At 38.0% G+C, this 12175-nt stretch overlaps 1 protein-coding gene and 1 pseudogene across 2 annotated transcripts in view; one reads left to right on the top strand and one right to left on the bottom strand.

Annotated features, from left to right (window-relative positions):
* Positions 1 to 12175, bottom strand: part of ZNF93 (zinc finger protein 93) — a 34630-nt gene that overhangs the window by 15784 nt on the left and 6671 nt on the right. The window contains exons 1-3 of one of the 2 annotated variants that reach the window (XM_047439495.1): positions 4970 to 10843; positions 4386 to 4512; positions 3137 to 3232 (exon numbers count right to left, since the gene is read on the bottom strand). In XM_047439495.1, the coding sequence (XP_047295451.1) occupies positions 3137 to 3232; positions 4386 to 4419 (130 nt within the window). In that variant the 5' untranslated portion in view covers positions 4420 to 4512; positions 4970 to 10843. Of the gene's footprint in view, positions 1 to 3136; positions 3233 to 4385; positions 4513 to 4969; positions 10844 to 12175 lie in introns of those variants that run through there. The other variant, NM_031218.4, reaches the window with a different exon arrangement.
* Positions 10646 to 11524, top strand: BNIP3P47 (BNIP3 pseudogene 47; annotated as a pseudogene).

Below are 12175 nucleotides of genomic sequence, written 5' to 3'. Positions count from 1 at the left end.
AAAAAATCACAAGCATTCTTATACACCAATAACAGACAAACACAGAGCCAAATCATGAGTGAACTCCCATTCACAATTGCTTCAAAGAGAATAAAATACCTAGGAATCCAACTTAAAAGGGATGTGAAGGATCTTTTCAAGGAGAACTACAAACCACTGCTCAACAAAATAAAAGAGGATACAAACACATGGAAGAACATTCCATGCTCATGGGTAGGAAGAATCAATATCATGAAAATGGCCATACTGCCCAAGGTAATTTATAGATTCAATGCCATCCCCATCAAGCTACCAATGACTTTCTTCACAGAATTGGAAAAAACTACTTTAAAGTTCATATGGAACCAAAAAAGAGCCCACATTACCAAGTCAATCCTAAGCCAAAAGAACAAAGCTGGAGGCATCATGCTACCTGACTTCAAACTATACTACAAGGCTACAGTAACCAAAACAGCATGGTACTGGTACCAAAACAGAGATATAGACCAATGGAACAGAACAGAGCCCTCAGAAATAATGCCACACATCTACAACTATCTGATCTTTGACAAACCTGACAAAAACAAGAAATGGGGAAAGGATTCCCTATTTAACAAATGGTGTTGGGAAAACTGGCTAGCCACATGTAGAAAGCTGGAACTGGATCCCTTCCTTACACCTTATACAAAAATTAATTCAAGATGGATTAAAGACTTAAATGTTAGACCTAAAACCATAAAAACCCTAGAAGAAAACCTAGGCAATACCATTCAGGACATAGGCAGGCAAGGACTTCACGTCTAAAACAACAAAAGCAATGGCAACAAAAGCCAAAATTGACAAATGGGATCTAATTAAACTAAAGAGCTTCTGCACAGCAAAAAAAAAACTACCATCAGAGTGAACAGGCAACCTACAGAATGGGAGAAAATTTTTGCAATCTACTCATCTGACAAAGGGCTAATATCCAGAATCTACAAAGAACTCAAACAAATTTACAAGAAAAAAACAAACAACCCCATCGAAAAGTGGGCGAAGGATATTAATAGACACTTCTCAAAAGAAGACATTTATACAGCCAAAAGACACATGAAAAAATGCTCATCATCACTGGCCATCAGAGAAATGCAAATCAAAACCACAATGAGATACCATCTCACTCCAGTTAGAATGGCGATCATTAAAAAGTCAGGAAACAACAGGTGCTGGAGAGGATGTGGAGAAATAGGAACACTTTTACACTGTTGGTGGGACTGTAAACTAGTTCAACCATTGTGGAAGTCAGTGTGGCGATTCCTCAGGGATCTAGAACTAGAAATACCATTGGACCCAGCCATCCCATTGTTGGGTATATACCCAAAGGATTATAAATCATGCTGCTATAAAGACACATGCACACGTATGTTTATTGCAGCACTATTCACAATAGCAGAGACTTGGAACCAACCCAAATGTACAACAATGATAGACTGGATTAAGAAAATGTGGCACATATACACCATGGAATACTATGCAACCATAAAAAAATGATGAGTTCATGTCCTTTGCAGGGACATGGATGAAGCTGGAAACCATCATTCTCAGCAAACTATCGCAAGGACAAAAAACCAAACACCGCATGTTCTCATTCATAGGTGGGAATTGAACAATGAGAACACTTGGACACAGGAAGGAGAACATCACACACTGGGGCCTGTTGTGGGGTGGGGGGACGGGGGAGGGATAGCATTAGGAGATACACCTAATGTAAATGACGACTTAATGGGTGCAGCACACCAACATGGCACATGTATACATGTGTAACAAACCTGCACGATGTGCACATCTACACTAGGACTTAAAGTATAATTAAAAAAAAGAAAAAAAAAGAAAGAAGGAAGGAAGGAAGGAAGGAAAGAAAGTCACTGAAATTGAAGAAAAATAAGTAAAAAGTTGCTGTTTGTAGATCATACAATCTCATATTTTAAAAACCATAAACAGTATATTAAAAACTGTCTAGCTAGGCGTGGTGGCTCATGCCTGTAATCCCAGCACATTGAAAGGCCAAGGCGGGTGGATCACCTGAGGTTGGGAGTTTGAGACCACTCTGACCAACATGGTGAAACCCCATCTCTACTAAAAATACAAAATTAGCCAGGTGTGGTGGTGGTGAGCTGAGATCGTGCCACTGCACTCCAACCTGGGCAACAAGAGCGAAACTGTCAAAAAATAAAAAAAATTTAAAAAGCTGTCTAAACTAATAAATACACTCAGTAAATAGTAAATTACCAAAACAGAAAATTAACACACAAGTATATGAATGGTTTCATGCACTTAAAAGAAACTATTTGACAAAATAGAGGAAGAAAAATCTTATTTAATGTAGCATTAAAAAAAACTACTGGGAAAAAAATTAACTAAGAGATAAAAAATCTTTACAATAAAAAAATTAGAAGATCCAAATAAATTTTAAAATATTTTATGTCTATAACTTGAAGAATAAGTATTATTAAAGTGTCATATTATCCAAAGTAATCTACAGATTCAATAAACTTCCTATCAAAATTGCAGTGGTATTTTTTTCACAGTAATGGAAAATACAATTCTAAAATTTACATGAAACTACAATAAAAGTGTGAATAGCCAAAGCAATCTTGAGGAAAAAGAACAAAGCAGAAGCATATCATATGTATAATTGCAAACTATACTTAAAAACTATGTAGTAATAAAAATAGAATGGACTATAAAGAAAAATGAACAAAAAAATGCAACAGAAACTACTCTCACACATTTTAGACCTGATGCAAAAATAGAACTAAAAAGTAGTTTTAGTTTTTCAAAATCATGCAAATATTTTTGTGTCCCCAAAAGAATGGAAAAGCAGCCAGATTGTATAATCTCTTATATGCCATCAAGAGGACTGTGGCTCTCACTGAGAACTTGAAGGAAGCTCACCAAAACAAAAGTAGAATCCTTAGAGAATTTAAAAGCATAAAACGGAAGATGTCCCTTTGTGAGAACAAAATTAAAAAACAGAAACAAAAACAAAAAACAGCTGCCCAGGAACTATTTCCTTTGGAACACAGCTTCCCGAATCACATTTTAAGGACTGGCTTTCTCTTTGGCCTTGGGACCTCTTACTGTGTTGTCTGTTGTATTCATTTTCACTCACACCTACCTGAGGGGTTGGCTACCATCTCATGTCTCTTCATAGTCAAAGGTTTTTTTCCTTGCTCCAGATGGGCGATCAGGTCTGGCTTAGAGACAACAATACCTGTTTTGTTAAGAATAAATAACATGAATCTTGCTCATATTCTCCAATTACAAGCTAGTAATGTGCTCAGCAAAGACGATGTGATAAAATATTCTAGTAAATTAATACCAAAATACAAATTTATAACAGAAATTTATAGATATTTAAACAATACTTTCAATTTGCCGGGTGCAGTGGCTCACGCCTGTGATCCCAGCAATTTGGGAGGCCAAAGCAGGTGGATCATGAGATCAGGGGGAGGCCAAGGCGGGCGGATCACGAAGTCAGGAGTTGGAGACCAGACTGGCCAACATGGTGAAACCCCATCTCTACTAAAAATACAAACATTAGCAGAGCATGGTAATGCATGCCTGTAGTCCCAGCTACTCGGGAGATTGAGTCAGGAGAATTGCTTGAACCTGGGAGTCGGAGGTTGCAGTAAGCCAAGATCATTCCACTGCACTCCAGCCTGGGTGACAGAGCAAGACTCCGTCTCAAAAAAAAAAAAAAAGGAAAAAGAAAATACTTCCAATTTGTAGGTTTCTTAATTTTACTACCTGGTACCACTGAATCAAAAATTGGTGGTGGCATTTAGATTTTCAGGTGGGGGCTACAATATTTTACGTCAGTAAATTTCTGTAATTACCACTAATTTAGAGTGAAGAATACAGCTCAACTCAGGAATGTGGAAAGATTGGATTAAGATGAAACATCTTGAAGAAATTTTTGTTTTTTTCTCGAGAAGTAATCTTGCTCTGTCATCCAGGCTGGAGTGCAACGGCACGATCTCGGCTCATTGCAACCTCCGTGTCCTGGGTTCAAGCAATTCTCCTGCCTCACCCTCCCAAGTAGCTGGGATTACAGCCGCATGCCACAACGCCTGGCTAATTTTTTGTATTTTTAGTAGAGATGGGGTTTGACCATGTTGGCCAGGCTGGTCTCGAACTCCTCGCCTCAGGCAATCTCCTCCGCCCTAGCCTCCCAAAGTCAGAACTATACAGGCAAGAGGCACTGAAGAAATTCTTTTCTAAATGAACAAATTCTGAAGATTTTCTGGAAAAAATGGATCTGAAACTCCTTTATGCAAAGAATAAATTACTAAAAAACATTCTACAAAAAAGAGAAATAAAACCTTTAGGGTGTATTATGAATTATGTATTAAAGTTATCCTCACCAAGGAAGACCAGGTTACTGTAGTTCTCTAACATCACATTCCTATATAGATTCCGCTGTGCAGTGTCCAGGCAATGCCACTCCTCCAGAGAGAATTCTATGGCCACATCTCTAAATTGCAATGGTCCCTGAAAAACACACACACACATTTTCACCAAGTGGCCATGGGTGGAATTTTTAATTTTACTTAAGGTGAAATGAGAGAGTAAAGAGAAGTGGTTCTGACTTATAGGACTGACTAAAATTATCCAATAAAATAATCTTCAACACAGAAATATTCTCTAATGTATTATCTGAGAAAAAAAGGGCAGCATTAGATCCACAACATCAGTTCATATATGATATTTTTCTAGATAATAAAGTATAAAATTAAGGGCATGAACATGAACATGTACATTTTTGAGTGCTATATTTACATCATACAGAATGAGATGTGAATATGTTTCATATGGAAAAGACATGTTGAGTTAGAAGTCACCTCTCAAATTTTAATATGTACAATAAGCTGAAGACCTTGTTATGCGGGGGTTTTTTCCCAGAAGATCTGGAATGAAGTCTGATTTTTTGAATTTCTAACAAGCTCACCAAAAATGTCAATGTTTTTGGCCCGAGAAGGATATTTTGTCAAACATCCAGTAAGTGGAAGAGCCTGTGTTTTTCCAAGTTTTTGTGGCCTGTAAACAAAGATAACAGCCTTCATCTTCCATAGAAAACTATATAGAAAAAAAAAGAAAAAAGGACAACTGACAGATTAAATGTGATGGTTTATGCAAATCCGCTGGATAAGGATGCTTAATAATGAAGAGAAAAATAATTAACTATAGTGAAAAAATCTGTGAGAGAGAGCTACTTCACCAAGTGAATCATTAACCATTAACTGCACTAGGACAAATTTTTCTGATGTGTTAATGCACACAGAACACAGTATCACTGTTGAAATATTCCTCCCAAATAACGTAAATTATAATCTGAATTTAACCATAAAGAAACATCAGTTTTATGCAAACTCCAAAATACAGTTAACTCCTATGTTCTGTAATTTTTAGTAGTAATTTTAAATAGGCTTCATTTAGCACCCTAGAGAGCAAGTATCTCCTAATAATTTTTTTCAGAACATTCTGGGTAATAAATTCTATCCCATTTAAATAAGCATTTTCTGAATTATCTTCTGCATATAGCTAATGGAACACGAGTGGAGGCTTTTACTTTACCATCTTTACTAAGGACCACAGTTTTCCCCAATAGGAATCTTGAGTACCCACATCTTTCTGTGTTCAACAGCCACAAAGGGAATATTTTTAATAATGTGGATCATAAATTCTTGCTGATAATTCTGCATGGCATATAAGAAGCTATGACAAACAGAATGTAGAGAAGTCTGTGGGATATAAAAAAGAAATATTTTTCAAAGATCCTTGACCATCATAGGAATTTTAAGAAGTAGTTAAATCAAACTCACGGAGGAAAAACAAAAGTAGAGAAGTAAAGGTTTGTGAGTACTAAACGCATGGCAGTCCAGGAGGCAGAGTGGACACAGCTCTTCATCTGACACATGTTTACCTGAAGAAAAGCCATTTTTTTTTCTTTCTCCTCCTTCCCTGGAGTTTCTTCTCAGATGAGATTCTCTGTACAAATTACACCTGCATCTGGAGAATATGCCTTTAAAGGTGTACCACATGTTTACCTGCTAGCATGACATCTTCTGGCAGAAAAAGACAGAAAAAGCCACCCATTTCTGTCCTTTAAAACAGAAGAGATTCGGGAACAATGAACTGCTCCATGAAGATAAAAATATAAGTTTCTCCTTTCCTGTCCTCAGGTGCCCTCCCCTGCCATAGACACCAGCAACTTTTGCTACAGTAATGGAAATATGCACCACACTTACCTGTCCCTACCAAACCCAAATAGAATAGGCCCTGTGACCACCCTCTAGTTCACAGGTGGAATTTAACTCTCATGAATATATTTTAAAGCCCTTATACTTGATTCTGGAATCACCTTAGAGTCACATGAGGCACTTCATTAAAAAAACATGGATGCTTCCACCCACAACAATAAACAGAAGCTGTGGGGAGGGTACAAGAGATTTCAGCAAATTGGTCATGTGATCCTAATGAGAAGCCTGGGCTGATAACCACTAAGCTAAGCATTGCCTCTCAAGCTTTAACGAGCTTATAAATCACTTGATAATTGTGGCCGCACATTCTGTAATGTGATTCTGTATGTTTGAAGAGGGTTTATGAATGAGTGTTTTAAACAAGTCCCCTGTCAATGCTGATGTTGCTCCCCACTGGCTCATTATGAGCATTAGTTAGAGAAAGCAGGAACAGCACAGGGTCCCTTACACTTAACACTCTTGCCATAACCAAATACTTCTAGTAAAAATAAGGACAGCCCATTCCATTTAAAAGTTTTATATTTTTTGCTGGCTCTTTAAAATTTACAGAGGAAACAGAAGACAGCAATATCTGAATAAGTCTGTATTTTAAAAAGAACATGTACACAGGTACTAATGCAATGTTTATTAAGCAGGCACTATGTGCTAGAGTATGATACAGAGCACGGTGCTGGGCATAACACATTATATGATTTAATTCTCTTAACACCCGGGGAGCTGGTACTAAGTGTTTCTTAATTTTCAGGATTTAGATAAAGGGCCCATTTTTATTTTTTCTTCTGTTTCTCTGTCATCAAATTTTTTAAAAAATTGTATAGAATAAAAGCTAAATATAGACAGATGAAAGAGATACAGAAGAGTTTAATGTAGTCTAGAGAAAATTTCATTCTGTTTATATTTACTTTTTTGACTTGTGCAGCAACTACTGGATCTGCAGGAATAGAAAACAAGTTGCTAAATACAATGTCTCTGCAAGCACTGGTTTTAATAAAAAATTTAAAAACAAACACCTTACAAAACATACTTTTTTTCCCGATTTATCTGCTTTTGAATTTCAGGAAATTGTGAGCACCAGCTCTAGAAAGGCAGCAGGATTCAGCAGCCAAAACTCTGATCTCCTTTAATGAGTTCTGTGAGGCAATACTCCAGGGTAGGTTCAGACCTAACTAAGGTCTCCAAAAAGGATGAATCTGAACACGTCTGGGGCAGGGTGAGAACCCTATGTAGAATTCTGTTCTCTATGCAACTAGGAAACTTCCAGTTTTGTTTTGTTTCTAAGCTTACCTAAAAGAAACTTAAATCCCAGAGTTTCTGTAGTTTTTATCTTTTCTAGTCACTGCCCTGACAACTTTATACTATATACTAGTATGCAACTTAAACAAATCCCTTAAGGTTTTCTAGGGTAATTTTATTAGAAAATAAATATCTACAGTTAGCAAGGTAAAAGAAATAGAAAATATACGGCCAAGCGCGGTGGGTCATGCTTGTAATCTCAAGACTTTGGGAGACCAAGGCGGGTGCAGAACGAGGTCAAGCAGTTAAAGACCAGCCTGATCCAGATGATGAAACCCCGCCTCTAGTAAAAATACAAAAATTAGCTAGGTGCAGTGGCAGGCAACTGTAATCCCAGCTACTCGGGAGGCTGAGAAGGGAAAGTCACCTGAACCCGGGCGGCAGAGTTTACAGTGAGCCGAGATCGTGCCACTGCAAGCCAGACCAGGTGACAGAGTGAAACACCATCTCAAAAAAAAAAAAGAATTTATAACAATTATTTTGTTCATAAATCTCCCTTCAGGTGTAGACATCAGAAGTCACAACAATATAAAGAAAGTGGTCTAAAGCCCAAGATTTTTAACACATCTATTTATTATACCAACCATATGATGCACACTTCAATTACTTATCCAGTAGCTAGTCTAGACTAAAAGTTTCTGGATTGTAGGAACTATGACTGCTTCATGTATTTTTTTAATGCCCATATGAAGTGGAAGGAGCTAGTTTATCTATCTGGGTCTCCAGATCTTCTCCTTATTATCCAAGTACCAGGAAACTGGAGAAGCTGTCATCGGGGTACCAACCAAAGATATCTCTTGTATGAGGGAATGAACAAACACAGGATGACTCATTTCTCTTACACTGAGACAGAAGCAGAATTAACCACTCTTGTCAGCCTGACAAAATTCTGCTCTGGACATCCTCAAATGCCTCAAAGACACCTGGGTGATTGTGAGAGATTCCCAGTGACCCAGGCCTCATGGCCCAATGATAAGCCAGGCTGGAGAGACTCAGGCTAACTCTGAATAGAAAATGGAACTGCCCTGGTGGAGCTCCAGAACCTGGATCACCCATTCTGATTTGCTAGCTCTTGGGTAAGAGAAAGATCAAAAATACTCTACTCTAGTATTACATTTTACAGCTAAATATAATTGTGGTCATGGCTCTGGATACTTTGTGGCCCCGATCTCTCACTCCTAAGATGCTTATTTACACTTACAGATTCTGCCATCTGAGTCTATTTCTCCTGGAGCCCCTCACATAACTGTAGCAGGTCAATGAACAAGATGTGAAAATCTCAAAGAGCCACACTCCCAAATGGGGGCTGTAAGATGTCTATGTTTACATTCACAATGCAGAAAATGACTTTTGTTCATTTTCTGTACATTCTCAATCCAAGTTCTGGTCCTTTCTTGTAAATCCCAGGCAGAGGCCAGACCTTATCTGCAGATTCCAGGTAGGATCCACCTGGCTCTGCATCCTTTGGTGTTACAGCAAGTGGAATACAATCAAAGGAGAGATCCCCTCATAGAGACTACTCTAGCACATTCTAAATGGTAAGTCTACATGAAAAAAAAAAAAAAAAGCTGAAAGAACATGAATATAAGTAGATAGTTTACTTGGGTCAAGCTTAAGGATTATAACCTGGGAGCAAAGATTCAAGTTGCCTGGAATCTGCATTTTGATTACCAGCAGTTACAAGACAATTTGTAAAGACAACAAGACAGGGACAGAGAGTGGGCTGATACAAAGTTGATTGTCAGAAATTTTTATTTATTTACAGAAATAACATCGATTATTGATTACATATATATTATTATGGTTTAGGGTATGGGATATAGTGTCTAATGTGGCATTATTAGTTTAATTTATAATTACTTGTGGCAATAGTGAACAGTTTCAAGAGATGAATACATAGTTCAAAGGGGGGAGAAAGACATAACAGTACTTTCATTTTAATGTCTGAGTTTGATAACCAAAGGGACTTGCATTTCTTAGGTAAGTTTTTTTTTCCCCCAAATCTCAAGACCTGGATTCAAAATTTGGAGCTTCAAGTTTAGGGCCTGAACGACTGGAGTAGCCACAGGTGTTTACCTGTACATTTGTGAGCATTTAGCAAGAGGAGGAAGGGGAAAGTGGAGATTCTCATGTCTCTATGTCTACTCAGCACACACATGTTACTCTGATTGGGTTTCTGGGCTCCATAGTTTCTGAATCAGTTTCAAATCTGAAGATACAAGAGTCACTGAAAAAGGTTAAATGATTAATTAATTGCTGCCCTGTGAAGTTTGTAGAAATTGGGTCTAGCCTCTCTAGAAGTGACAGTAGAGGAACTATCAATACCAAATAGGCAGAGACAAAATTCCACGTGCATATTTAATGGACAGCATGCATTTTGCTGCGCAAGTATGGGCTGACTCAAAGTCTGAGAGGGAAAGTCCCCTCTACAGTAAATTCTGGTTGGCACCTTATGTGTTTATATCATGTCTGGTAATTCTAGACACTCTGTGGAAACAATAATTAAAAGAAAAATTTTCTCTATTTTCAGAGAAACTCCACAATAATAGAACAGAAAGAAAATGGTCTTATTACACAATTAAACTTGAATGTGACATACATCATCATCAATCTGCTTAAGAGACTGCAAAGTCAGAAAGATGGTCATCATAATTAGTCCACAAGTAGAAGAATTTTCAGCACCATGTCATATATAGTTCATCCTAAATTCACCTGGATACTGAAGAGGCCATCTGTGTATACTAATTGCTTATATTCAATGACAAATAAACTTTTCACATCTTCATAACAGGAGTTGGTTTAGCAGCTTGAAGCCAGGTGTCTGCTGAAGCTAGGCTTTCACTCTGCTACAAAAATGGCTGAATAGTGTTCTTTTTGGCTATTTACATTTTAGAGCAGTGGCTCTGTACTCCCTGGCACTGGGCTACAGCACTCCTGTTTACTTTCTCCTAGTTGCTAGTGTCCTCTCTTTACCGCTACCATCTGCCACTGAGGCACAGCCCAGAGCACAGCTTACATTTTATGTGAACCCCATTTGCCACAGCAGCACTCTAGTGTCACATCAGAGAGTGACGTCTGAGCTGCAGGAGGAGAGCCTGCAGGCGTCATGGATAGAATTTCACCTTCACAATAATCAGAATGTGAGCAGTGTTTCAGCCTCAGTTTCTACTTATAATGATGACATGGAAAAAATACTTCTGAATTTTCAGCATGAGTCCAGATAGACATATCTTCAAAAGTTCTCACTGTGACAGCCCACCTCATTCAGACACCACGGGATACTAATAGGATTTCTGAAACAGACACCCAAAGCATTAGAGAGAAAACCAAATCTCCATCTGAGCAAGATTTTTTTTTTTTTTTTTTTTTTTTTTGAGACGGAGTTTCACTCTTGTTGCCCAGGCTAGAGTGCAATGGTGCGATCTCGGCTCACAGCAACCTCCGCCTCCTGGGTTCAAGCCATCCTCCTGCCTCAGCCTCTGGAGTAGCTGGGATTACAGGCATGTGCCACCATGCCTGGCTAATTTTTGTATTTTTAGTAAAGAAGGGGTTTCTCCATGTTGGTCAGGCTGGTCTCGAACTCCTGACCTCAGGTGATCTGCCCACCTCGGCCTCCCAAAGTGCTGGGATTAGAGGCGTGAGCCACTGCGCCCGGCCAGCAAGATTATTTTGAAAGAAAAAAGGTAAAAAGATCTCAAGAAAAAGCTCAGATTAGATATAAGATTGATCATCAGCCAGAAAATACGCCCCTAAAAGCAATTTATTTCTAAACACCCAAAGTGCACAGCTACTCTCAGTATGAGAAACATGAGCATTATGAAGAAAGAGGGCAGATTTTCAGAAAAATTTTATAAAGTTTCTTTTCCATCTCTGCTGCAGTCTCATTTTCTAGCCATTGAATGGGGGTTCTATATGGAAATCATCTGTCAACTTCCAACAACACTTTTTGATGAAGAAATAGAATCTGACTGTGTTCATACAGTGGAACATATTAGACCTTGTAACATAGTTAACTGAAGAGCTATTATGGTTTTTGGTGGCCACATCACCTGTCTTTATTTGTCCTGTAATAGCAGCGTTCCAATTTAGTGAAACAAAAGATACTAAAATTGTGTTTACCCATAATGATCCCCATTGAATAAAGTAACAAACATGTCAGACTAACTGTAACACTTTGGTAGTAAATTTTCTTTGGATATTAGATATAAATAAGTATGAATATTTTAATGTACCAGTAGTAATGTATGTAGCATTTAAAAAAATTGCAACTATACTTCAAACACTTTATATTTCAAAAGTATAAATAACAATATTAAAATAACCATTTAAGTGATTCATTCAAAGTAAGTATTGCAGCTTTATATTCATACTATTGTAGAATATACTGTTTATGGCTCACACCTGTAATTCCAGCACTTTGGGAGGCTGTGGTGGGTGAATCACCTGAGGTCAGGAGTTCAAGATCAAGCTGGCGAACGTGGTAAGACTCCATCTCTGCTAAAAATACAAAAGCTTAGCCAGGTGTGGTGATGCATGCCAGTTACTCGGGAGGCTGAGGCAGGAGAATCACTTGAACCCAGGAGGCAGCAGTTGCAGTGAGC

Source organism: Homo sapiens, chromosome 19 (genome assembly GCF_000001405.40).
Source record: "Homo sapiens chromosome 19, GRCh38.p14 Primary Assembly".
Taxonomy (NCBI): Eukaryota; Metazoa; Chordata; class Mammalia; order Primates; family Hominidae; genus Homo; species Homo sapiens.
Note: the sequence above shows the minus strand (reverse complement) of the source record. Positions and strands in the feature narration are given on the sequence as shown.